Source organism: Homo sapiens, chromosome 17, assembly GCF_000001405.40.
Source record: "Homo sapiens chromosome 17, GRCh38.p14 Primary Assembly".
Lineage (NCBI taxonomy): Eukaryota > Metazoa > Chordata > Mammalia > Primates > Hominidae > Homo > Homo sapiens.
The window spans coordinates 44547021-44572627 of record NC_000017.11 but is presented as its reverse complement, the minus strand read 5'-3'; the positions used below and the strand labels follow the sequence as shown (position 1 = coordinate 44572627).

The 25607-nt window shown below is 49.8% G+C and overlaps 1 protein-coding gene across 1 annotated transcript, besides 9 other annotated features; it reads right to left on the bottom strand.

Moving 5' to 3' along the window:
- Positions 5260–5460: a silencer, noted in NCBI's record as "peak2866 fragment used in MPRA reporter construct". NCBI's record gives its function as "represses an SCP1 promoter by STARR-seq MPRAs in K562 erythroleukemia cells {active_cell/tissue: K562}" and the evidence as "EXISTENCE:reporter gene assay evidence [ECO:0000049][PMID:32103011]".
- On the bottom strand, positions 11366–15144 carry FZD2 (frizzled class receptor 2). Its single transcript, NM_001466.4, has one exon. The coding sequence runs from the start codon at positions 14937–14939 to the stop codon at positions 13242–13244; it is 1698 nt and encodes a 565-aa protein (NP_001457.1). The 5' UTR covers positions 14940–15144; the 3' UTR covers positions 11366–13241.
- Positions 13934–14894: an enhancer, noted in NCBI's record as "H3K27ac-H3K4me1 hESC enhancer chr17:42635102-42636062 (GRCh37/hg19 assembly coordinates)". NCBI's record gives its function as "activates a minimal SCP1, AML or CMV promoter by ChIP-STARR-seq in naive H9 embryonic stem cells {active_cell/tissue: H9 hESC(naive)}" and the evidence as "EXISTENCE:reporter gene assay evidence [ECO:0000049][PMID:30033119]".
- Positions 13934–14939: a biological region, named in NCBI's record as "H3K27ac-H3K4me1 hESC enhancer GRCh37_chr17:42635102-42636062".
- Positions 14398–14447: a silencer, noted in NCBI's record as "silent region_8597". NCBI's record gives its function as "represses an Ori minimal core promoter by ATAC-STARR-seq in GM12878 lymphoblastoid cells {active_cell/tissue: GM12878}" and the evidence as "EXISTENCE:reporter gene assay evidence [ECO:0000049][PMID:35858748]".
- Positions 14693–14939: a silencer, noted in NCBI's record as "fragment chr17:42635057-42635303 (GRCh37/hg19 assembly coordinates)". NCBI's record gives its function as "represses an EF-1alpha promoter that drives an FKBP-Casp9 reporter gene in an ReSE screen in K562 erythroleukemia cells {active_cell/tissue: K562}" and the evidence as "EXISTENCE:reporter gene assay evidence [ECO:0000049][PMID:32094911]".
- Positions 15112–15879: an enhancer, noted in NCBI's record as "OCT4-NANOG-H3K27ac hESC enhancer chr17:42634117-42634884 (GRCh37/hg19 assembly coordinates)". NCBI's record gives its function as "activates a minimal SCP1, AML or CMV promoter by ChIP-STARR-seq in primed H9 embryonic stem cells {active_cell/tissue: H9 hESC(primed)}" and the evidence as "EXISTENCE:reporter gene assay evidence [ECO:0000049][PMID:30033119]".
- Positions 15338–15437: a silencer, noted in NCBI's record as "silent region_8596". NCBI's record gives its function as "represses an Ori minimal core promoter by ATAC-STARR-seq in GM12878 lymphoblastoid cells {active_cell/tissue: GM12878}" and the evidence as "EXISTENCE:reporter gene assay evidence [ECO:0000049][PMID:35858748]".
- Positions 15880–16649: an enhancer, noted in NCBI's record as "OCT4-NANOG-H3K27ac hESC enhancer chr17:42633347-42634116 (GRCh37/hg19 assembly coordinates)". NCBI's record gives its function as "activates a minimal SCP1, AML or CMV promoter by ChIP-STARR-seq in naive and primed H9 embryonic stem cells {active_cell/tissue: H9 hESC(naive and primed)}" and the evidence as "EXISTENCE:reporter gene assay evidence [ECO:0000049][PMID:30033119]".
- Positions 24018–24565: an enhancer, noted in NCBI's record as "H3K27ac-H3K4me1 hESC enhancer chr17:42625431-42625978 (GRCh37/hg19 assembly coordinates)". NCBI's record gives its function as "activates a minimal SCP1, AML or CMV promoter by ChIP-STARR-seq in naive H9 embryonic stem cells {active_cell/tissue: H9 hESC(naive)}" and the evidence as "EXISTENCE:reporter gene assay evidence [ECO:0000049][PMID:30033119]".

Below are 25607 nucleotides of genomic sequence, written 5' to 3'. Positions count from 1 at the left end.
AGAGGCCCTGTCTTTTTTTTTTTTTAAAAAAAAAGAGAGATGTACTCCTTATTATCAAAAGCTTGAGATCTGATAAAGGCCTCAACCCAAGCAGGACAACTAAAAGTTTTAAAGGAGGCTAGTGGGGATTTTGTGGGAGCCAAGTCTTCCCTAATTTACCAATCAGGCATTTACCTCTGCATTCCCTGAGAACAGAAACAAAATTGGTACAAATTGACATATTCTATAATGTTTTCAAAGTGTTCTTTAATTAGTTCATATACGTTTATTCTTTTATTGACTTAGAGTATGAGAACCTGAGGACAGAGTAGATGTCCCTTTAGAGTAGCAGTTTTTAGACTTTAAAAAATTATGAAGGCCAGGTGTGGTGACTCACACCTATAATCCTAGCACTTTGGGAAGCCGAGGCGGGTGGATCACCTGAGGTCAGGAGTTCAAGACCAGCCTGACCAATGGTGAAACCCCTTCTCTACTAAAAATACAAAATTAGCCAAGCATGGTGGCGCATGCCTGTAATCCCAGCTACTCGGGAGGCTGAGGCAGGAGTATCACTTGAACCCAGGAGATGGAGATTGCAGTGAGCCAAGATTGTCCCATTGCACTGCAGCCTGGGCAACAGAGTGAAACTCCATCTCAAAAAAAAAAAAAAATATAATCCATACATTTTATGTATGATCCAGGTCACATGCACTTATATAATCATATAAGTGGAAATCAAAGTTTCTCCAGACATTACTTACCTTTCCTATTGGTGCTGCACTGTGATCTTTTCTATTCCATTCTGTTCTAATTTTTTTTTAATGCTAGTTACATCTCACTAATTGATTTTGCAACTCACTAATGGATTACATATTGCAGTTTGGAAAACTCTGCTAATGAGTGTGTGAAGGCATATGGAGAAAGACATTGTCAAGAGAATGAGAAAACAAGCCACAGACTGGGAAAAAATATTTGCAAAATACACATCTGATAAAGTACTGTTCTCCAAAATATACAAAGAAATAAGTCTTTTAAAATTTTTCTGATTTTTTATTTTTTTGAGATGGAGTCTTGCTCTGTTACCCAGGCTGGGTGCAGAGGCGCGATCTCGGCTCACAACAACCTCCTCCTCCCAGATTCAAGCAATTCTCATGCCTCAGCCTCCCAAGTAGCTGCGATTACAGGTGCATGCCACCACACCCGGCTAATTTTTTATACTTTTGGTAGAGACGAGGTTTCGCCACGTTGGCCAGGCTGGTCTCAAACTCCTGAACTCAAGTGATCTGCCTGCCTCAGCCTCCCAAAGTGCTGAGAATGCAGGCGTAAGCCACTGCGCCCAGCCACTATTTATTTATTTGAGACATGATCTTGCATCGTCACCCAGGCTGTAGTGCAGTGACATGATCATGGCTCACTGCAACCTTCATCTCCCTGGGCTCAAGTAGTCCTCCTGCTTCAGCCCCCCAGAGTAGCTGGGACTACAGGTATGCGCCACCATGCCCGGCTAATTTTTAAATTTTTTTTGTAGAGACAGGGTCTTGCTATGTTGCCCAGACTGGCCTCAAATTCCTGGGCTCAAGAAATCCTCCTGCCTTGACTCCTAAAGTGTTGGGATTACAGACATGAGCCACCATGCCGAGCCAAAAACTCTTGAAACTCAACAATAAGAAATCAAATAACCCAATTAAAAAATGGACCAGGCCGGGCGCAGTGGCTCACGCCTGTAAGCACTTTGGGAGGCCAAGGCGGGCGGATCCTGAGGTCAGAAGATTGAGACCATCCTGGCTAACACGGCGAAACCCCATCTCTACTAAAAATACAAAAAAAAAATAACCAGGCGTGGTGGCGGCAGGTGCCTCAAAAAAAAAAAAAAAAAAAGGACCAAAGACCCTAACACACATCTCACCAAAGACATACAGATGGAAGGTAAGCATATGAAAAGACCTCTATATCCTATGTCATCGGGAAAATGCAAATTCAAACAATGAAATACTACTACGTATCTATTGGAATGGCCCAAATCTGGAATACTGACAATACCAAATGCCGTGGAGGATGTGGAATAACAGAAACCCTCATTCACTGCTGGTGGGAATGTAACACGGTACAACCACTTTGGAAGATAGTTTGGCAGTTTCTTACACCACTAAACATACTTTTACCATACAATCCAGCAATCAAGCACCTTGGTATTTACCCACGTGTTAAAAATTTACGTCTAGGTGGCCGGGCACGGTGGCTCACGCCTGTAATCCCAGCACTTTGGGAGGCGAGATGGGCGGATCACCTGAGGTCAGGAGTTCAAGACCAGCCTGTCCAACATGGTAAAATGCCGTCTCTACTAAAAATACAAAAATTAGCTGGGTGTGGTGGCAGGCACCTGTAATCCCAGCTACCCAGGAGGCTGAGGCAGGACAATCGCTTGAACCCGAGAGGCGGAAGTTGCAGTGAACCTAGATCATGCCACTGCACTCCAGCCTGGGGAAAGAGAGCGAGACTTTGTCTCAAAAAAAAAAAAAATTATGTCTACATAAAAACCTGTACATGGATGTTTACAGCAGCTTTATAATTACCAAAGCTTAGAAGCAACGAAGATGCCCTTCGATAGGTGAATAAACTTACCAGACAGTTCTCCGGGTGGCCTTGGGCCACCCAGTTCTCCGCTTTCTCACTTATAGTATTCAAGAATAACCGTAGATTGTTCTGGGAATGCAGCATCCTGGGATAACGAGGGACTGGACAGCACAGCCTGAGCTCTATTCCAGGCCCTCCTAGAAATAGAATATCCTTTAAAAAAAAAGAAAACAAGAAAGAAATAGGACGTCCTTCAACATTTTAGCCCACCAAGTCCTGTTGTCCCTAGGATACAAAACCCAGGGCAGTTTGCTAGTGAGGTAAGCAAGACATACACACTGACAAGACTCCATTCACCCCAGGCAGCTTTTGTGAGCCTCGGGGGACTGGCTGAGTCCTAGGCTACGCTGTCCCTTGCTGCCTATCTGTAAGTAATACATCTGGTGCGTGTAGCTTATTTGATTGGGGGGGTTTTTCTGTTCCACCCAACTCAAGCAAGTTGGTAGCCAGGGCATAATTAATCTGCTTTGAAAAACTGTGGAATAGCCAGACATTATTCAGTGCTAAAAGGAAACGTGCTATCAAACCACGAAAATGTGTCCAGAATTGGTGGGTTCTTGGTCTCACTGACTTCAAGAATGAAGCCGCAGACCCTCGCGGTAAGTGTTACAGTTCTTAAAGGCGGCGTGTCCAGAGTTTATTCTTTCTGACGTTCGGATGTGTTCAGAGTTTCTTCCTCCTGGTGGGTTCGTGGTCTCACTAGCTCAGGAGTAAAGCTGCAGACTTTCGCAGTGAGTGTTACAGCTCTTAAGTCGACGCATCTGGAGTTGTTCGTTCCTCCCGGTGGGTTCGTGGTCTCGCTGGCTTCAGGAGCAAAGCTGCAGACCTTCCCGGTGAGTGTTACAACTCATAAAAGTAGTGTAGATCCAAAGAACAAACAGCAACAAAATTTATTCCAAAAAGTGAAAGAATAAAGCTTCCTCTCTCCACCCCCCAACCCCCCCCCCCCCCCCCCCCCCGGAGAAATAGGACCCGAGTACATTGCCACTGCTGAGTCGGGGCAGTCTGCTTGCACTGCTGAGTCGGGGCAGTCTGCTTTTATTCTCCTATCTGGCCCCACCCACATCCTGCTGATTGGTCCATTTTACAGAGCGCCGATTGGTCTGTTTTACAGAGAGCTGATTGGTCCATTTTGACAGGGTGCTGATTGGTGCGTTTACAATCCCTGAGCTAGACACAAAAGTTCTCCACGTCCCCACTAGATTAGCTAGACACAGAGTGTCCATTGCTGCATTCACAAACCCTGAGCTAGACACAGCGTGCTGATTGGTGTGTTTACAAACCTTGAGCTAGATACAGAGTGCTGATTGGTGTATCCACAATCCCCCAGCTAGACATAAAAGCTCCCCAAGTCCCCACTAGACTCAGGAGCCCAGCTGGCTTCACCCAGTGGATCCCGCATCGGGGCCACAGGTGGAGCTGCCTGCGGGTCCCGCGCTGTGAACCCACACTCCTCAGCCCTTGGGTGATCGATGGGACTGGGCGCCCTAGAGCAGGGGGCAGCGCTCTCCGGGAGGCTCGGGCCGTGCAGGAGCCCACGGCGTGGGGGAGAGGAAGGGGTGGAGGCTCAGGCATAGTGGGCTGCAGGTCCCGAGCCCTGCCCAGCAGGGAGGCAGCTAAGGCCTGGCGAGAAATCCAGCACAGCAGCTACTGGCCCAGGTGCTAAGCCCCTCACTGCCCGGGGCTTGCGGGCTGGCTGGCCGCTACGAGTGCGGGGCCCGCCGAGCCCACGCCCACCCAGAACTCGCGCTGGCCCCCAAGCGCCCCGTGCAGCCCCAGTTCCTGCCCGCGCCTCTCCCTCCACACCTCCCCGCAAGCTGAGGGAGCCAGCTCCAGCCTTGGGCAGCCCAGGAAGGGGCTCCCACAGTGCAGTGGTGGGCTGAAGGGCTCCTCACGTGCCGCCAAAGTGGGAGCCCAGGCAGAGGAGGCGCCGAGAGTGAGCGAGGGCTGCCAGCAGGCTGTCACCTCTCAAAAACACGTGGAGGAACCTGAAATGCATATTACTAAGTCAAAGAAGCCAATCTGAAAAGGCTACATATAGTATGATTCCAACTCTATGATATTCTAGAAAAGGCAAAACTGTGGAGACAGTAAAAAGATCAGTGGTTGCTAGGGGTTGGTGGGGCTGGGAGGGTTGAATAGGTAGAGCATAGAGGATATTTAGGTCAGCGAAAATAGTCTGTGTGATACTTTAATGTTGTATATATGTCATTATACATTATAGAAAGTACAACACAAGTCCAGGCACGGTGGCTCACACCTGTAATCCTAGCACTCTGGGAGGCCAAGGCAGGCGGATCACTCGAGCTCAGGAGTTCAAAACCAGCCTGGGCAATATGGCAAAACCCTGTCTCTACTAAAAAAACCAAACCAAAACAAAACAAAAAAACCACACACACACACACAAAAATTAGTCAGCTGTGGTGGCACACACCTGTAGTCCTAGCCACTTGGGGGGCTGAGGTGGGAGGATCCCTTGAGCCCAGGAGGTCAAGGCTGCAGTGAGTCGAGATCGTACCACTGCACTGTAGCCTGGGTGACAGAGACCCTGTCTCAAAAACAAACAAACAAGAAAGTAAACCAACAGTGAACCTTAATGTAAACTGTGGACTTTGATTGATAATGATGTGTCAGTGTAGGTTTATCAATTGTAACAAATGTACTCCTTTGGTGGCCGGATGTAGTAGCTCATGCCTGTAATCTCAGCACTTTGGGAGGCTGAGACAAACGGATCATCTGAGGTCAGGAGTTCGTGACCACCCTGGCCAATATGGTAAAACCCTATCTCTACTAAAAATACAAAAATTAGCTAGGCGTGGTAGTGGATGCCTGTAATCCCAGCTACTTGGGAGGCTGAGGCAGGAGAATCGTTTGAACCAGGGAGGCAGAGGTTGCAGTGAGCTAAGATGTGCCACTGCACTCTAGCCTGGGCGACAGAGCGAGACTCCATCTCAAAAAAAAAAAAAAAAAAAAAAGTACTCCTCTGGTGAGGGATGTTGATAATGGGGAAGGTAGGTTATGTATGTGTAGGGACAGGGGTATATGGGAACTCTTGTACCTTCCTCTAAAAAAATTAGTCTAAAAAAAAGCATAAGGACTAAAAGCTGGGTTTGAGCTCCAATTCTGCAATTACCTGTGAGCTTCAGGCAGTGTCTCTCTGGCCTCTGGGCCTCATTTTTCTTTTTCTTTTCTTTGTTTGTTTTTTTTTTTTTTTTTTTGAGACGGAGTCTCATTCTATCACCCAGGCTGGAGTGCGGTGGTGCGATCTTGGCTCACTGCAACCTCCGCTTCCCAGGTTCAAACGATTCTCCTGCCTCAGCCTCCTGAGTAGCTGGGATTACAGGCAAGCGCCACCACGCCCGGCTAATTTTTGTATTGTTAGTAGAGACTGGGTTTCACCATGTTGGTCAGGCTGGTCTCCAACCCCTGACCTTGTGATCCGCCCGCCTCGGCCTCCCAAAGTGCTGGGATCATAGGCGTGAGCCAGCGCACCCAGCCGCTCTCACACGGTTTGAAATGTGCCAATCAGACCAACTTTTCCTAGAGGTGCCATGTACACCTTTACCTTGACAGCCACAGGCATGGCTCAGGGCACCTTTCTTCACCCTTTCCCCTCCCAGCTCAGGCGCCCATGCGTGCCCGCAGCAGGCAAAGGCCAAGCCCAACAGCCAAGAGTGGGCGGGAGAAAGCCGTGGTGGTAGCCAAACAGGGCAAACGGATGGGCGCTTCTTGCCGGCTGCGCCAATAAAACCTTTCCTCCCCTGGCCAAAGAATTCAACACGGTCTGAACTAGAGGAAAGATATAAGGATTAGGGGGGCCCACTTGCAGTAAGCAAGGGGTTCTTCTCCCAGAATCCTCCTCTTTTTGGCCTTTTAACTGTTTTTCTTTTTTTCCTTTTCTAAGTGAGAGGGCTCCCCCATCCCAGTAGTTTCTGATAGGGAAGTTAACGGAGGAGCGACCCCTGCTGGCTGAGAACTGCAAATTCAGCAGGGCACATCTGAGACACTCTGAACAGATACAAACAGCCTCTAAACCAACTTTTCAATCCCAAATTCGATTCCAGGCTTCAGGCTGAGGCCCTAGAGAGAAAAACCAGGTCCGAGGGATCCAAAGCCAGGCAACAGGCACAATGTAAATGGGCAGAACCAATTCCTGACGAGTGAACCCCCCACCACATAGAAGGAGGCCATGTTCCATGGCACAAACAGGCCCAGGGAACTCAGTTTGCTGACAGCAGGAAGAAAGGGAGGGAGAAAGGGAGGTGTAGATGAGAGCAGTTAATTCCTATTCTCCAGGTTTTCCCTGCTTCATGGGTACATACCGCATTGGTACCCATGGCTGGCACCTGACAAGGTCACCAGGGCTCAGGGACAAGAGGTGGAGGGTGCAGGGAGGATACTCGCTTTCTCTCTCCATCACACTCTGAGTATTCGCTGAAAGAAGGAAGGGAGTAGGGGACGCCTTTTTTCCCTGTCTTTCAGAATGGGCAACCAGTTCTCTTCACCACCCCCAGCTTATACTCTTCTGGAGTATAATGTATTCTGAACCATTGGGATTGCTTTGACCCTCAGCATCTGAAGGAAAAGCACCTCATAGCCCTCTGCACAAAGGTTTGGCCAAATTATGATTTATAGGAAGGACTGGCGTGGCCTCAGGAAGGGACCATTCATTTCAATACCATTGAACTAGGACCAAGCCCCTCAATTATACTAAATTGTCCATGATTGACCAGGGATTTGATGAAAATCCCACTGCCTTCCTGGAGAGGCTAAGAGGGAGCTTGGTAAAGCACCTCTCTCTATCTCCTGATTCAGTAGAGGGACAACTAATTCTAAAGGATCAATTTATTACTTGGGCAGCTCCTGACATCAGAAGGAAGATACAAAAACAGGCCCCGGGACCAGATAGTACTTTGAAGAAACTCCTGAAAGTAGCCACCTTGGTCTTTTATAATAGAGACTGGGAGGCCCAGGAAAGAGAGAGGAGATACAGGAAAGAGGCAAAAGCTTTAATGGCCATCGTGCAAGTCCACAAATCCCAGAATTCCCAGGGTGCACCTGTTAACTGCTAAAAGATATGGCAAGAACAGTTATCTCTTCTCAAGTTGAACTGCTCCTATATAAGGTTTAATTTCTTACAGCTCAGGGTACAATGTTGTTAGTATATTTTACTTCTTGTCTCTGGAATCTTTGGCACTAAATTCTTTCCTTGTATAATACACGTTTAATTTATGCACACTTAACCTTATAAAACTTGTTTTATTCTCTTGCGCCTAGAAGCCACCAAACTGCAAACGGTCAGGCAATCGGAGCCTCGGATGATGGCTCCCCTTTCCTAGGAACCCTTAGATAGACCTCTAGGAGGAGTCTGACTGCTGTTTTCCCCAAAACAATGCCCCCTATCAGCATGAAGCAGCTAAGACCAGTCATCGTCCATATTCTAAGGGCAGTTAGATGTACCTCTTCACACGGAGGAAATGATAGGGAAGTGCTGGGAAGGGAAGACTGTGGTCCTTTTAAATGATAGGGAACAGTTTAAAAACTATTGGTAACACTTCTCTTGTCAAGAAATTAGATCTTTTGATCCACTGATTTTATTTTTGGAAATGTATTCTAAGTGGGGGCCAGGCGCGGTGGCTCACACCTGTAATCCCAGCACTTTGGGAGGCCAAGGCGGGCGGATCACGAGGTCAGGAGATCGAGACCATCCTGGCTAACCCGGGGAAACCACATCTCTACTAAAAATACAAAACAAAACAAAAAAAACTAGCCAGGCGTGGTGGCGGGCGCCTGTAGTCCCAGCTACTCCAGAGGCTGAGGCAGGAGAATGGCGTGAACCCGGGAGGCGGAGCTTGCAGTGAGCCGAGATCGCGCCACCGCACTCCAGCCTGGGCGACAGAGCCAGACTCCGTCTCAAAATAAATAAATAAATAAATGTATTCTAAGTAATTGGAAAAGTGCTACAATTTATTGAACTACTGCCTGAGGGCTCTGTAGATGTATGGTCCCGTCTACTACTCATGTTACCAGACAGGTACTATCAGCCTTTTTATAGATGAGGACACACGCTCAGAGGTTAGAAAAATGCCACAAGTGCTCACAGCTACTACTGCAGTGAGTGGTACCAAAGCATGTCAAAGCCTCTGCTCGCCATACATTGTCTGTCTCTCTCTCCGTTTTTCCCAACTACAAATTTCATTCATCCATATTCCACTCTGCTGCATCTTGATCACTTGTTACCTGATCAAGGGGCAGGATTGAACTGAGTGAATAATCTGGTTCCGGGGTACTCCTGGTTTTGTAGGCCCAGTGGCTTTCCCTCCTCACCCCCACCCCCTTTCCATAGCAGAGGTGATTAGAGACCGGGGGATACTGGAGTCTGAGAAGGTAAGGGCTGTCCTTTAGAGAAGGAGAGGTAGCTAGTAATCAGGACTAGAAAATGTCTAGACAGGCCAGGCACGGCGGCTCATGCCTGTAATTCCAGTACTTTGGGAGGCCGAGGCGGGAGGATCACCTGAGGTCAGGAGTTTGAGACCAGCCTGGCCATCGTGGTGAAACCCCATCTCTACTAAAAATACAAAAATTAGCCAGGTGTGGTGATGCACACCTGTAATCCCAGCTACTCAGGAGGTTGAGGCAGGAGAATTGCTTGAACTCGGGAGGCGGAGATTGCAGTGAGCTGAGATCGCGCCACTACACTCCAGCCTGGGCGACAGAGTGAGACTCAGTCTCAAAAAAAAAAAAAAAAAATGTCTAGACCAGCGACTCGAAAACTAGTTTGGGGGCAGGCGGGTAGGGAGAGAGGTCAGGGAGGGATGATCTAGAAACTTCCTAAAGCTACACACAATTGCATATTCATGGGGGATCTGGCTATTTTTTTTTTCCAGGAAGAGGTCCAAAGAGTTTTGAGATTCTCAGATGGTCAGTGGCCCCCAGAAGTTTAAGATCCATTTAAGGTAAGAAGAGTGATTCTAGAGGAGGAGGGACCCTGGTACAGTGAGTAGCAAGACTGCAGAAGGGAGGGCTCGCCCGGCTCAGACCCCATGGCAGGCACCCCCGGGACAGCATCTCCCCACCCTCCTGAAGAGATTTTGGAACAAAAAGCAGTTCCCCATCCCACTGGGCTGAACCTAATCTTAATTCTTTGGGGATGTTCAGAAGAATTTTGTCTTGAGAAACTTTAGTGGCCTTTTTCTAGAGCTAGCTCTTCAAAAAATCTTAAAGGGCAAAAAGTTTGGAACTAACGTTAAAGTCTTCTGGAGGGAAGTCTGGGCTGGGAGGAGGGAAAGCCTGATCAATAAGAGGGGGGAGTCTGGAGGAGAAATGCCTGGGACCTTGAAACCCCAGACCATTGCCCTGGGGGAGGGCAGAAGAGCAGGCAGAAAGCAGCGTGGGCCTGAGACCTGCCCCAGGCCCAGGTGCCACAGGTGAGTGTATTTCCTTCTTGGCCCTGACCCTCCAGCAAACACAAAGCCTCGCTCTTCCAGAGGGAGGGACCAGCCCACTTACAACATGGAAACCCTTTTCTGCTCAAAGGACGACCTAGAAATCTCCAAAAGCAGATCTCTAAGCTCCTGTTTTTAACTGGGTTTTCTGAACAAGGGAGCTGAGGTGCCCTCTCCCGTGAGGCAGTGAGTTCAGGTGGTTTACCTCTGAGTCTTCCTCCAGGGTGCTTTCTCCTCTTTACCCCAAATTCCCCAAACTGTGGTCTAAAGCTTCCCTTCCTCTAAGAGTGTTTCATTTAAGAAACAGGACAAGGGTGTGGAGAGGAGGGTTCCCCCACAACAATTTTCAGTAGGGTAATTCAGCCCTTGGCTACTCCCCCTGAAGAAGGGGAAGGGTATCTCTAAGATCTGTTCTTTCCAAAAGATGGAACTGTCTTATTATCTGTCTTCCTCCTCAGTCATATAATCTATTTTGTCAGTGTCTCAGGCTCTCTTCCTTTATGTTGGCAGGAGACTTTGAGGAGGGGGTTGCTCAGTGCGAGGGTCCAGGGACAAATGTACCCAAAGCACACAGAGCCAAGATCTTGGGTGGCTTATAGGTGGGAGAGGCTCTCCCCAATCTTCAACAGAGACCAGCTCCTCTTCCCACTGAGCTCAATACCAGGTACTGGAAAATCCCACCTGATTCTCTGGCTTTTCCCATTATTACAAGGAGAGGCACTCACAATTTGTTTGTAATTTTACTCTTTCCTGCAGCCTTTGCGGGGTCCCTTTAGAATCCTGCAACAAATGGAGCCGGGGGCGGTGACACCTCCTCCCGCCTGCTTCTTTGATAATTGAGGGAACCTCATGTTGAGATCTCACACTTGTCATCATTTGATAAAAAGCTAGGTTTAACTGGCCACTGACACAGATGATTTGGGGGGAAATTATATATTTTTGGGAGGGGGCGCTGCTGAAATCCACAGGCTTCATACAATTCCAAACAAAGCCCCACATATCACTTCAATTACCACCAAACATTTCCAGTTCCCCTCCCCCAACATAAACTAACACAAGCAAACACTTCGAAGTAGGGGTTCTAACTTAACTTTCTCCCTTGTCCGGAAGACAGCCAACAAAGGGTGGTAAGGCACCATTTCTCCCATCACCATTTAGCTAAGAAAGCAAGGTCCAGGGCTGGGAGCACTCTTCTCTGCCCCACCCCCAGCCAAGTAGGTAAGGGAGAGAGGGGAGGAGGAGGTGTGGTTTGGTTAAACTAATAAAATGTTACAACCCTGTTAAATACAATTAAAAGGATAGATCTCTCAAAGATAATTAAATGCACTTTATTATTATGATTATTAGCTTTTAATTTACACTGTTAAGAAATGGAAGATGGCGAAAACTGAGTTATGTGGCATACTTGTATTCAAACTAATCCTTTGGAATTAAAATTCTAAAATATTCCAAATAGTTGAGGGAAATAATATGTGTTGGAAACTGGAGTTCTCACACCAGCAAAGATACTTTTAGACATCACTTCTCAGGAAGTTAACTTAAGAGAAGTCTTGACAGGCCAGGCACTGTGGCTCACTCCTGTAATCCCAGCACTTTAGGAGGCCGAGGCAGGCAGATAACGAGGTCAGGAGTTCGAGACCAGCCTGGCCAATATGGTGAAACCCTGTGTCTACTAAAAATACAAAAATTAGCAAGGAGTGGTGGCGTGCGCCTGTAGTCCCAGCTACTTGGGAGGCTGAGGCAGGAGAAACGCTGCAGTGGAGGTTGCAGTGAGCCAAGATCGCACCACTGCACTCCAGCCTGGGCGACAGAGCAAGACTCCGTCTCAAAAAAAGAAAAGTCTTGACTTTATTTGTAGGGGCTCAGGGGAAGATAAGAAACATCTGCTTTAAACATCCTATCAATCTTGTGATATAGAATGTAATGTAAACACTCAACCCACCCCCACAGCCACAAAGGGCCTATCCAGAGACTTCTTCTAAAGCAAAGATACCACCTTTTTTTTTTTTTTCATTTTTTTCTGGACAAATTTTAAATAAACCAGTCTTTTTCTCAAAGGAAAACTAAAAAGCCCACCAGCCCATCAGTCCCCTCCCTCCAACCCACCCGTCTTTATCACTTTTTGAAAAAAATAAGCCCCAAACAACAACAAAAACCCACACAAACCAACCCAGAAACTGCTAACCTGAACGCCAGAGATTTTTGGCTGCGGGAGTGAATAGACTGCAGGGAAAGAAGGGAAGAGATGCTAGGAGGTCTCAAACTCCCCAGATTTGCAAACAAGTGCTCAAAGGCGAATGCTTCCCCTAGACATGAAGGGAGGCAGGATCAGTACTCCTGGTGGGGTGTATGTTGGTGGGGGCTGTTTCAAAACACACTTCAAAAAGCATTTTTGGGCCACTGGAAGCACTTGGTGCAGCGAATTGAAAAGAAGAGAAGCCAGACAGGAGAAAGATCTTCCAGCCTGCAGGGGAATGGGCCAGGGGGTGGAAGCCATTCCTCACCGGATCTCTGCCCTCTCCCCACCAGCACACCCCGACCCCGATTTTTTTTTCCACGTCTTCATCTCTGTTGGGACTTTTCCAAGAGTGAGTGAAGAAGACAGGACAAATGAGTAGGGAAAGAAAAGGGGGAAGGAAACAAAACGAATCCAAGTCCTGTTCAAAAATATCCAACGGCTTCCACAGGCCCAGCGTCAGAGAGGAGGCTCACAAATTTGGCTTTTATATTAGTTGAATGGAACAAACTCCTAACGACTCAAAGCCAACAAAAACAGCGCTCAGGCTGGGTGCCTCTCCCATCAGGCCCAGCCCTGCCATATCACCAAAAAACTCCAAAAGTGGGGCGGGTTTTGAAGGGCACTTAAGAAAGAGAACCCTCCCCCCAACTACACTCCCCAACACACACACACCTCATTCTTCAGTCCTGGCGCCCACACCCCTGTTTTTTTTTCTCCTTTTTTCTTTTAAATAGAAAATATATATAATTAAATTTACAAAGACTATTTACAGTTTTAATTACAAACCTTGTGGGGGTGTTGGGCAGAGAGTTCTCTTTTAAAAAGCAACCTAAAAGTGAAATGGTTTCGATCGTTTTTTATTTAAAAAAATAAAATACGGAGTCTGTAGGGGCCCCACCCCGGGCGGAGGAAAGCGCCGCGCGGTTCCGGCCTGGGGGCGTCCCTCACACGGTGGTCTCACCGTGTCGGCTGTTGGTGAGGCGAGTGTAGAACTTCCTCCACGAGTGCAGCGTCTTGCCCGACCAGATCCAGAAGCCCGACGTGATGCCCACGATGAGCGTCATGAGGTATTTGATCATGTAGACCGTGAAGTCGGGCGACATGCGCGGCGTGTAGTGCGCCGGGCACGGGATGGCCAGGCTCTTGCAGTGCTGGCTCACCCACGAGCGCTCCCAGTGCTCGCGGAAGGCCTGCTCGTAGAAGTAGCAAGCGATGACGATGGTGGCGGGCACTGTGTAGAGCACGGAGAAGACGCCGATGCGCACCATGAGCCGCTCCAGCTTTTCGGTCTTGGTGCCGTCGTGCTTCATGATGGTGCGGATGCGGAAGAGCGACACGAAGCCGGCCAGGAGGAAGGACGTGCCGATGAACAGGTACACGAAGAGCGGCGCTAGCACGAAGCCCCGCAGCGGGTCCAGGCTGTTGAGGCCTACGAAGCACACGCCGCTCAGCAGGTCGCCGTCGATCTGGCCCATGGCCAGGATGGTGATGGTCTTGACGGCCGGCACGGCCCAGGCGGCCAGGTGGAAGTACTGAGAGTTGGCCTCGATGGCCTCGTGGCCCCACTTCATGCCGGCTGCCAGGAACCAGGTGAGCGACAGGATGACCCACCAGATGGAGCTGGCCATGCTGAAGAAGTAGAGCATCATGAAGAGGATGGTGCAGCCCTCCTTCTTGGTGCCCTGCACCACCGTGCGGTAACCGTCCTCGGAGAAGCGCTCGTTGCACACCACGCGCTCCTGGAGCACGAAGCCCGCGATGTAGGCCACCGACACCATGGTGTAGCAGCCCGACAGAAAAATGATAGGCCGCTCTGGGTAGCGGAAGCGCTGCATGTCTACCAAGTACGTGGTGACAGTGAAGAAGGTGGAAGCGCAGCACAGCACCGACCAGGTGAGGATCCAGAGGCGCGCGAAACGCGTCTCCTCCTGTGAGAAGAACATGGAACCATCGGGCCGCGCAGGTTCGCAGGGCGCAGCACAATCACGCTCGCCCAGAAACTTGTAGCTGAGATAGGATGGCACCTTGAGGACGCGCGGGCAGTGGAAGGGGTGCTCCAGCGTGGCGTAGCGCGGGGGAGCGCCGCCGCCGCCCGGGCCACCCGGGGTGCCCCCGGCACCCGGCTGCAGTCCCGGCGGCGGCGCGGTGGTGAGTAGCGCGGGAGCTCCGTCCTCGGAGTGGTTCTGGCCGACGCAGATCTGCTCGGCGCCGTGGCGCGGGAAGTGCTCGCAGCGCAGGCGCTCGGGCCACTGAAAACCGAACTTGTTCATGAGGGCTTCGCAGCCCTGGCGCGCGCGCTCACAGATAGAGCGGCACGGCGGGATGGCCTGTTCCAGCACGGTGCACACGGGTGCGTACATGGAGCACAGGAAGAAGCGCAGTTCGGGCGAGCACTGCACCTTCACCAGCGGATAGAACTGGTGCACCTCTAGGCCTGCGTCCTCCTGGTTCGTGTGGCCCAGAAGGTTGGGCATGATGGTCTGGTTGTAGGCGATGTCCGTGCACAGCGGGATGGAGATGGGCTGGCAGAAGCCGTGGTCCGGGATGGAGATGCCCTTCTCCCCGTGGAACTGGGCCGGCCCGGCGGCGGGCAGCAGCAGCAGCGGCAGCAGCAGGCGGGGCAGGGCGCTGCGGGGCCGCATGCTGGCCGCCGCCCCCCACCCGGCTCCTTGGCGCCCCCCCCGCCCCCGCCCCCAACCCGGAGACTGCGCTTCTTCCCCGCCGCCTCCTCGCTGCGGCTGCCGCCTCCCGCGCCTCTTTGCAAACTTTACTCGCGGCCGCAGAGTTGGGGAGGCCGGGCGGGGGAGGGGGCGGTGCGCCTGCCCGCTTGCTTGCCGCGGTCGGACTGAGCAGCCGGAGACACCGCGCGCTGCTGCCCTCTCTCCTCTTCCTCCTCCTCTCGCCTCTCAGCTCCCCCTCTCCCCTCCCTTCTGCACCCAGCGACTTCTTTGTGCCTCCTCCAGCCCTCACCTCGGCCTCTCCGATCCCAATTAGTCGGTTTCAAGGGGGCCCCCGCTGGCGGCCCCGCCCTCTCCTCAGCCCCCCAAAAAAGGGATCCTTGAAACCGCCCCGTCGAGCTCTAAGCACCAACCCAAAATGTGCTCTCGGCCAATCAGATTTAAACCCGAGGACCAGGCCCGAGGGCTGGATTGGTCGACCACAACATAATGAGATCAGAAACCAGATGCCAACAAAACTTTCCCCCCCTTTTGCTTTTTAAAGAGACAAGCTATTATTATATTAAGGGCTGTTTGCCCAGCCCGGGATTTCTCCGGAGTTGCCGCGGCGAGATCGGGGGACACTACTCGACCCTGGCTCACTCCTCTTCCCGGGCCGAGGTGCTCTGCCGGGTGGGGACTCTTTAAACCCTTGCCCCCGCCCCCGATCCTCGAACCCCACCTATTCCTAGTCCAATTTTTCAAATCGAGTGAAAAATCTCAAATTTAAAAATTAAAACAGACTTTAAAAAAACTAACAATTTACAAAGACCTTTTCTGTCCGCTCTTTCTGGAGCCCAGGCGAAAGTTTCACTTCACTTTACACGTAGATCCCTCGCCCTCCCCCTCCACACACCCTTAAAAAACCCTCTGAAAAATGGGATCCTGTCTCTTTAAGAGACTCTTAAAGGGACCAGGACTCCGAGGCGTAATTGCCCCGTAGCCAACACAAAGGAGCCCATTATGGTTCTTTGTGTTCGGTGGCACCTCAAAGTGAGAAAACTCAGGAACTCGGAGGCCCGGAGCTGGAGGGTTGGGGCGGGGGGCTTGGAGGGAGCGAGGGAAAGGAGAATGGCCCGGAGCTGCGGCTTCTCCCTCCCGCTTCTTCTGCGGCAAATCTTAATTGTGCAAAGTAAAGTTTAGTTGCCCTAAGGAGGAGGTCTTAATCGAAAGTTAATGGTGGGGGGCGGGGGGTGACGGGCAATTTTGAGTGAAGGGACGACTCTCTTAGGCCTGACGAACGTTTGAGGGAATTTTCCTTCTGCCTCCCCACCTCTACCTCCGCCCCCTAAAAGCTTCCAGATCCCGTCTCCAGGGCGAGAGGGGAGTTTTACCCAAATCTTAAGTGGTTCCACACCAGAGAGGGGTGGCGTGTGTGACGCGGGAGGAAACTGGGGGGTTGTGGTGAATTATCCCCTCCACATCTCTCACCTGGTAAGGGGTGGGGTGTGGCCAGCAGGGTTCCTGCTACTTTTAGAATTTTTCTTTTCCCTTCTAGGATTTTAAATTTGGAAAGGGGTCGAGGAGGAATTTGCATGTAAATCTCCTGGGCCTGATACTGGATGATGGATCAATTATTTTCTGTTGTCTCTCCCGAGGGACAGGGGAAAGGGGGGACTTAAAAAGAAGAAAGAAAATTGAGTTTAGAAAGCCCCTTTGCTTCACAGTATGGGCCAAATCCTCACAGTCTGGTGAAATGTTTCTTGCTCCAATATAGAAAAGAATTGTTTTAAACAACAACAGCAGAAGAAGAAAAATAACAAAAAGAGGAAAGGAGTAGGGAGAAGGAAAAAATATTCTAAGTAGATGGATACAAAGGGATCCAGGTTTGACAGGATTCAAAAAAAAATTTTTTTTTCCTGATCGAATGAATGATATAAAGATGTTCCGGTTTCTTACAACTTGAAAATGTTCCTTATTACATCCTGGGGAATTTGCCTTTTCCCTACACCAGGATGAAAATTTTCCTTCAAAATTGGGGCATGAGTGGGTGTCGAGGGGGATATGCCTTTTTTTGTGCATCCCATTTCCAGCCCACCCATCTCTATTCCACCAGCAAGCCCATTTTCTCTCAGAGCAGTCTAAGGATGGGAATGTTGTGCTCTCTCTGCTCCATTTGAGCCTGAGCTTTTGATCCTCAGATCTCCTGCCTAGTCCATCTCAAAGCATCTTGAGAGCCGGTACCAAACATGGAAGCTGAGCAGTGGAAACAAAAATGAATGACAGGCTCCTATACCCCATTCAGGAAGCTCGCAGTCCGATAGGAAATTGAGAGCAAATCTCCAATGTAAACGCAGCATCTTCAATTTCCTTCCATGACAAACCCGTTTTCCTGGCCTAGGGCCAGGTCTGAATGACAGTTATCCCCTCCCAGCCACCCCAAGGCAGATGGGGAGCTGGGGAGCTGGAAACAGGAAATAGAGGACATTCTTCCATTCACTCAGGCAACCTTTCATTCCTTCAACACACTTTTTTTCTTATTTCAAACCACCATAATAGGGGCTATGGAGAATGTGGAAAAAGATGACAGCATCTGCCCTTCAAAAATTTATAGTAGGCCGGGGGCAGTGGCTCATGCCTATAATCCAGCACTTTTGGAGGCCAAGGCGGGCAATCACCTGAGATCAGGAGTTTGAGACCAGCCTGGCCAACATAGTGAAACCCCGTCTCTACAAAAAATACAAAAATTAGCTGGGCATGGTGGTGCATGCCTGTAGTCCCAGCTACTCAGGAGGCTGAGGCAGGAGCTGAGGCTTGAACCCGGGAGTCGGAGGCTGAAGTGAGCTGAGGTCGCGCCACTGCACTCCAGCCTGGGCAACACAGCGAGACTCTGTCTCAAAAAAAAAAAAAAAAAAGAGTTTATAGTAGCCCAGAAGAAAAGTGATTCCACAAAGATGTTACACTTGTCTAGCATTTGTACATGAAATAAGGAGAAATCACGGTATTTCATGTTTACTCTTGCCTTTCACGTGAGGGACCTGAGTGTGAACAGGACCAGAACCTGCATCTTCAGATTACAGGCCTACCTACAGCACTTCTCATTCTGCCAACCTGCCTCTTGAGTACAGGAGCCCTGTAACTAAAGGATGTAATTTGTTATTTGATAGATACAGCATTTATTTCTGAGTTTTTAAAAATTAGCTTGGGCAGGATGCAATGGCTCATGCCTTTAATCCCAGCACTTTGAGAGGCCAAGGCAGGAGGATTGCTTGAAGCCAGATTTGAGACCAGCTGGGACAAGAAGTGAGACCCCTGTCTCTACAAAAATTTTAAAACATTAGCTGGGCATGGTGGTGCATGCCTGTGGTCCCAGCTACTTGGGAGGCTGAGGTGGGAGAATTGCTTGAGCCCAGGAGGTTGAGGCTACAGTGAGCTGTCATCATGCCACTGTGCTCCAGCCCAGGCAACAGAGTGAGACCTCTAAATAAATAAATAAATTAGCTTGGTCATTGACTTGGACCCATTTGTAACTCTGCCACTAACTATACAGCCTTGGAACAGTCACTTTACTTCTTTGAACCTCAGTTTTCCCATCTGCCAAGTAGGAAACCAACAGATTTTAAAAATGTGAGACTCCACATCCAAAATAATTTCAGAATGACAAAAATACATTTCATAATCATAAAGCGCCTTTTAAAACAAGAAGTTACGTTGAATTAAATATTTATTCAGCAGGCATCCTGGGAGACCTAGGGTAATGGCTACCCTTTTTTTTTTAGACGGAGTCTCGCTCTGTCGCCCAGGCTGGAGTACAGTGGCACAATCTTGGCTCACTGCAACCTTCACCTCCCAGGTTCAAGCAATTCTCCTCTCTCAGCCTCCCAAGTAGCAGGGATTACAGCCGGGCACCACCATGCCTGGCTAATTTTTGTATTATTAGTAGAGACAGGGTTTCACCATGTTGGTCAGGCTGGTCTCGAACTCCTGACCTTGTGATCCACCCACCTCGGCCTCTCAAAGTGCTGGGATTACAGGCGTGAGCCACTGCGCCCGGCCAATTGCTACCATTTTTTGAGCTCCTGCTAAGTTCTGCACATGTATATGCCTACAAAGTGGGTATTGTTTTTTGTTTATAGATGAAGAATCCACCTTAGGTGAGATCTGGCAACTTTCCCAAAGTCACATAGTATGTGGCAGGGGTGAGATTAAAACCCAGGCCTGTTTGGCTCTTAAAGCTGTGTTCTGTCTCCTGCATCACATAGCCCCTAATATCTGTAAGAATTGTGTGCTCTTATTCACTTAACAAATTTATGGCCAGGCACGGTGGCTCATGCTTGTAATTCCACTTTGGGAGGCTGAGGCAGGAGGGTCACTTGAGGTCAGGAGTTTGGAACCAGCCTGGGCAACATAGCCAGAACTCATTTCTTTTTTTTTTTTTTTTTTTTTTTTGAGACAGAGTCTCACTCTGTCGCCAAGTACAGTGGTGCGATCTCAGCTCACTGCAACCTCCACCTCCTGGGTTCAAGCGATTCTCCTACCTCAGCCTCCTGAGTAGCTGGGATTACAGGCGCGCACCACCACACCCAGCTAATTTTTGTATTTTTAGTAGAGACGGAGTTTCACTATATTGGCAAAGCTGGTCTCAAACTCCTGACCTCATGATCTGCCCACCTCGACCTCCCAAAGTGCTGGGATTACAGGTGTGAGCCACCATGCCCGGCCTCATCTCTTAAAAAAAAAAAAAATTACACTGAATACCAGACCCAACCCTTTGTTCCTATGGAGCTCATGTCCTAGTGGGAGACACTCACGTTGACTGCACAGTCACTGACATGGATGTAAAAGTGCCATGGGATTCAGTGCTGTGAAGGGAAGATCCGTAGTTCTTTGAAAGCATAATTGGGGAGGGAATCTGACTGAGTCGGGGAGGGCAAGAGAGGCTGTGTGGTTGGAGTGAGGAGCAAAGTAGGACGAGGTAAAGAGGCCAGCAGGGATCAGAGTTGCAGGGCCTCACAGATCACGTGTGAGGTGTTGGATGTAGAAACATGAACTCACAATCTAACAGGGAAACAGACATGTAAACAGACAAGGGAGGGACAGGCATTCCAGACAGAGGGAACATTGTGTGCAAGGGCGTGGTGGGGTGAAATAGATGGAGTAGGGAGGCAGCGCAAGACTTTGGCCCTGTGAGAGTCCCACGTGCATCTAGGAGAACGACGGCAGAGGAGGCTTTAAGTAGTCAGAGATCTTGGATACCTTGCACACGGTCTGGGCTCCTGGAGATGAGGATATACTGGAGAATTTTGGGAAAGGAAGAGGTCACATTTGCATTTTAACTAGTGCATTTGGGCAGTTTTGAGGAGCATCATGCCGGGAGCCTGAGATACCAGTTACAGATTGATCACAAGAGACCAGGCAAGAAATGGTGACGGCAGGAACTGAGATGTGACAGTGCAGATGGTAAGGAGAGAGAGTAAGGGACGAGATCAACCAAGGCTCTGACCTAGGTGCCCTAATGCTATTAACCAGGCTGGGAAATGCAGGGAAAGGGCAGATAATGAGTGCAGTCATGCAAGCCTGGTCCTATGGCACATCCAAGAGAAGGTGTCCAGAAGGCAGGCGAATAATCTAACTCAGTGCTCAGGTCAGAACTCTGGGCTAGATTTAGATCTGGCACCTTCAGCCTATGTCTGATGGTATGAGCATGGCTAAGATCACCTAGGGAAGATGGATAGGGTGGGAAGGCCAAAGCTTTGGGGATGTCAACATTTAAAGGCCCTGGGGCCAATAAGGAAGGAGACTGAGAAGAGGTGTTTGGGCCAGCAGAGATTCTAGCCAACATGAGGATGTCACAAGGTTTGTTTCTTCTGGGTCTGAGAGCTTCAAGTCAGGTTTTTGTTTTCTTTCTTTGTTTTTGTTTTTGAGACAGGGTCTTGCTCCATTGCCCAGGCTGGAGTGCAGTGGCTCGATCTCACTCATTGCAACCTCTGCCTCCCTGGTTCAAGGGATTCTCCTTCCTTGAGTAGTTGGGATTACAGGTGTCCACCACCATGCCCAGCTAATTTTTTTTTTTTTTTGAGATGGAGTCTCGCTCTGTCCCCCAGGCTGGAGTGCAGTGGCTCCATCTCAGCTCACTGCAAGCTCCGCCTCCTGGATTCACGCCATTCTCCTGCCTCAGCCTCCTGAATAGCTGGGACTACAGGTGCCCACCACCATGCCCGGCTAATTTTTTTGTATTTTTAGTAGAAATGGGGTTTCACCATGTTAGCCAGGATGGTCTCGATCTCCTGACCTCGTGATCCGCCCGCCTCAGCCTCCCAAAGTGCTAGGATTACAGGCGTAAGCCACCATGCCCGGCTAATTTTTGTATTTTCAGTAGAGACAGGGTTTCACCATGTTGGCCAGGTTGGTCTTGAACTCCTGACCTCAAGTGATCTGCCCACCTCAGCCTCCCAAAGTGCTGGGATAACAGGTGTGAGCCACCGCACCTGGCCCAGAATTTTTATTTTTCTTATTTCAGTTGTGAGAATTAAATGAGACAGCATATGACACTCACTATGACCTGGTGCTAGACTAAAAGCTTGGTAATAGTAGCTATTATTTTATCCAATAAATTATTGAGCATCTACTACATGCAAAGCAGATAGTCTGCAGAGACTCAGCCTCCAGCTTCAGGGAGCCTACAGTCTAGGGGGCCACATTCTGCTATCGCTCCCTAAGGAACATTTCTCTTTAGTCTTGGGCTTCTGCTGTGGGCTGGGAGCCTAGGTGTCCCCAGTGCACAGAAGTGCCACTTCTCCCCCAAACCCCGAAGTACCACTGTTAATCGTGTCTGCTTACAAATCTGACATCTAGGACCAGGTGGAGTGGTTCACACCTGTAATCCTAGCACTTTAGGAGGCTAAGGTGGGAGAATTGCTTGAGCCAGCCTAGGCAAGATAGCCAGGCCCTATCTCTACAGAAAATTTTAAAATTAGTCTGGTGTGGTAGCATGCACCTGTAGTCGCAGCTACTCAGGAGGCTGAAGCGGGTGGATCACTTGAGCCCAGAAGTTTGAGGCTGCATAAGCTGTGATCACCCCACCGCACTCCAGCCTGGACAACAGAGTGAGAACCCATCTCAAAAAACAAACAAACAAAAAAAAAACCAAATCTGATATCTGGGATAATTGTTGGGTACCTACTGTAAATCTGCTGCAGGGTCCATTCCCCCGTTCTGTAGGATGGGCTTGGCAGGAGCAGAAATCTCAACCTAACAGGAGAGCAGAGAAAATAGCTGTTGGAGTGGAAAGAAACCTGGTCTGGGGCTCCAAATGTCTGGGCTGCAGGCCTGGCTCCAGCCCCACTGGCCCAGTAGCTTAGGCAAGTCACCATCCCTTCCTTAGCTGCAGCTTTTTCATCAGTAGAAAGGGATCATAAAACAATTTATTGATTTTACCCTTGAGCCAGATGTAGGAGGCTGTGAGAATATGATGCTTGGATCATTGAAACTCTCCTTGCTTCATGCCACCCAAACAAGATGAAAGACTTGTGTGTCACAGATAAGTGAAATGACAGTCAGCAACATCCAACACACACAGGCATGCTCAGGAGAGGAGAGCACGGAGAACTTCTCCCCGCTAAGGAAACCTGGGGAGATTGCCTAGGGCTCCCACTCCCCGCAAAATATCCTCCTGTCTCTGGCCTTTCACCTTCCCCCGTCACAGTTTAGGTAATCACACATGTCCAGGTCTCCTTGCACGTTTTCCTCTAGAGCCCTTGCTTTCCAGAGAAGCTGTCCCCTCTGTCCTTGAGGGCTAATCTAAGGGACAATGCCTGGTATGGTGACTCCCGAGGGAATTCCCCCTGCTCCAATGAGCCTGCCAGAGGACAGGTCCCCTCTTTGTTTCCTCAATTCTGGGTCAGTGTTCTTTCCTTTTCAAAGCACTGAGGTCCCTCCACCCTAAAGAGGGAAGGGCTATGTGTATCTGTTTAGGAGACAGAGATCAAGGAGGAGGACTTAATTTCAGATACTTTAGGAGCCTCAATGGTTTTATTCTCTAAGCAAAAATGTTCTGCTCTAAACGGGGTGGGTCCTAGATACTTTGTGGAAAACAGGTCTGAGCATTCAGAGAATCAGTCTCCTTGGCTCCCCTCTCCCCTGACCCACACAATATGCCTCTGCTTTAGGTGAATTCACCTTTCCTCCTCTCTCCCTGAACCTGTCCATCAAGACCTTGAATCCACCTTCAGGTGAGGTATCAAATTCCTTCTCCCTGCACTCCATCCTCCATTTAGATCTCAGGGAAATGACCCTTAGAAATGGGCCACAGACCGGGCACAGTAGTAATCCCAGCACTTTGGAAAGATGAGGCTGGTGAATCACTGGAGCCTAGGAGTTGGAGACCAGCCTAGGCAACATGACAAAACTGTCTCTACTAAAAATTTAAAAATCTTAAAAATAAAAATAGCCTGGTGTGGTGGTGCATGCCTATGGTCCCAGCTACTCAGGAGGCTGAAGTGGAAGGATCACCTGAGTGGAGGCTGCAGTGAGCTGTGATCCTGCCACTGCACTCTGGCCTGGGCAACGGGAGTGAGACACTATCTCAAAAAGAAAGAAAAAAAGAGAAGGAGAGAGAAATAAAAGTAAGAGAGACAGAGAGAGAGGAGAAAGAGAAAGAGGGAGAAAGAGAAAGGAAGGAAGGGAGGGAAGGAAGGAAGGAAGGAAGGAAGGAAGGAAGGAAGGAAGGAAGAAGGAAATAAAGAAATGGGCCACCAAATAATCAGGAGACCTAGGACTCCTGGAATTCCAATTCCTGACAACTTGTAGGTTCCTTCAGTGCACCCTGCCCCACCCCTGCCAAGTTCCAAGGCTGCCCCTGGCTTTGGGGCAGAGGAGGAAGGAGACTTAGCAGAGCATAGCTGTTACCCCTTTATCTCTCCAATGTCTTTCTTCAAGGTCTCTGGCAGGCAAAATGGGCCATAAAAGGATTAAACAGATGTAACAGATGATCTATTAATTAAGGGCCTTCATTGGCCCAAGCCTGGGCTGAGCAAGACCAAGGTGTGGGCTGCTCAGAGCCAAATGGGGAAACAGGATCTAGAAAGCCAGTGCTAGGTTTGGCTAGTGAGGTTCTTGGGTGACTCTGCCTTCTAGAACAGGAAATAAATGTCCCTAGGAATGAACGGTTTCGATATTTTGTCTTCCAGAACCTTCTAGAACCTAATGCCAAGGGGAGAGGAATAGGGAAGCCTGAATCATAGCTCTGTAGCTATGGAGGGGTCCTTGGGGTGATGGGTGTGGGGGTGCTCCCTTGGGAGGGAGGAAAAGGTAGGTTGGCTTCCCAGCTGGAGCTCCCCTCCTGCTCCAGCAGAGCCCCACTCTTCCACCCTGGCTGCCCCCCTCCCATCTTCTCACTCTGCTCTTTCTTTTCCCCCTTCCTCATTTTCTACTCCTCCTTCTCCCTCTTGCTTCTCCCAGAATGTCTCTCCTTTCTCTCTAGGCTGGGCCACCTCACCCCCTCCCCTTCCCCTTTCCTGTAACTGAAGCTGTTGTTGGGAGTTGGAGGAGCTGGGCTGGTTTGAAAGGAGGCCCTGCTGCTTTTCAGGGAGGAATTGAAACTGTGGAGCTGGGGGTGAGGGGAGGCAGCAGAGGGGGAGGGGGGTGACTTGAGAAATCAAAGCGGCTGCAACTCCATCTGGGAAACCAACTTTGATTTACTAGCAAGGACCTGGCTCTCCCACTACCCCCACCCTTGCCCACTCCCCCTCCTTCCCTGGACTTTGCTTTGTGGTGATAACTGGGGGAAGGGGGGACGGACCCCCTTCCAACATGGAAGCCTGCTCTTAACCTGGGAGGACCAGCCTAGAGGAAGAAGGCCTGGGGGACTCTGCTCAGTCAGGCTGCAGATGCGGCTGAAGGGGGCCCAGCATCTCAGGAACTGGGTAGGAGAATGGATACCCCTGGGAAGGAGGAAAGCCTATTGGCCAGGCAGCCTGGCCCAGGCAGACTCAGCCCTGCTCTGGCTTGGGGCGACCCCCTCCCTGAGATGTGGGGCTGGGATGGGGGCACAGAGGAAGAAGGCCAGGGCTTTTTCATTTATCTATGGCCTTCCCCTCAGAACTGGGGGGCTTAGGGTCCAAGGCTGCCTGGTAAGAGCCAAGAAAAGAAAATGACTGAGAAGGAAAAAGGAACATCTATTGTAATAGACTATTTTGTGTTGAAATTCAATGTGAGCTATGGAGGACATTGGGTTCTGGTAGGGACTTGAGGCCATTTTGGGTGGAAGTGCTACCTTTCTCCTCCCTTCCTCTCTTGTACCCTCTGTTTTACTTTTCTTCTCCTCTGTCCAATTCTTAAACCCCTCAAGGTTGAAGGGGCTCTCTAACCAAACCCCTGCAATAGAAATAGGATCCCGAAGGTCCTAAACCCCCGGGGCCAGGGTAGAAATTCAGAACAAAATGAGTCATAACTTCAGGAAATGCTTATTCATGTTGTCAGCTGACTCCATCCAGTCCTCCTTGGTGGGGTGGTGAGTTTAAATCCCTGGACTCCTGGGTTCTAGGCAGACCCCCCCCTTCTCCTGAGCCTCCATCACAGCAGCATTTTTCAGGGTTCAGCATCCAACTTTCAGGACTAGCTCTTAGGAGAGAAAGGGACTAATTCAGCACAAAT

Coding starts and splice junctions, on each gene's coding strand:
- FZD2 (NM_001466.4), bottom strand. CDS start 14,939: ATGCGGCCCCGCAGCGCCCTGCCCCGCCTGCTGCTGCCGCTGCTGCTG.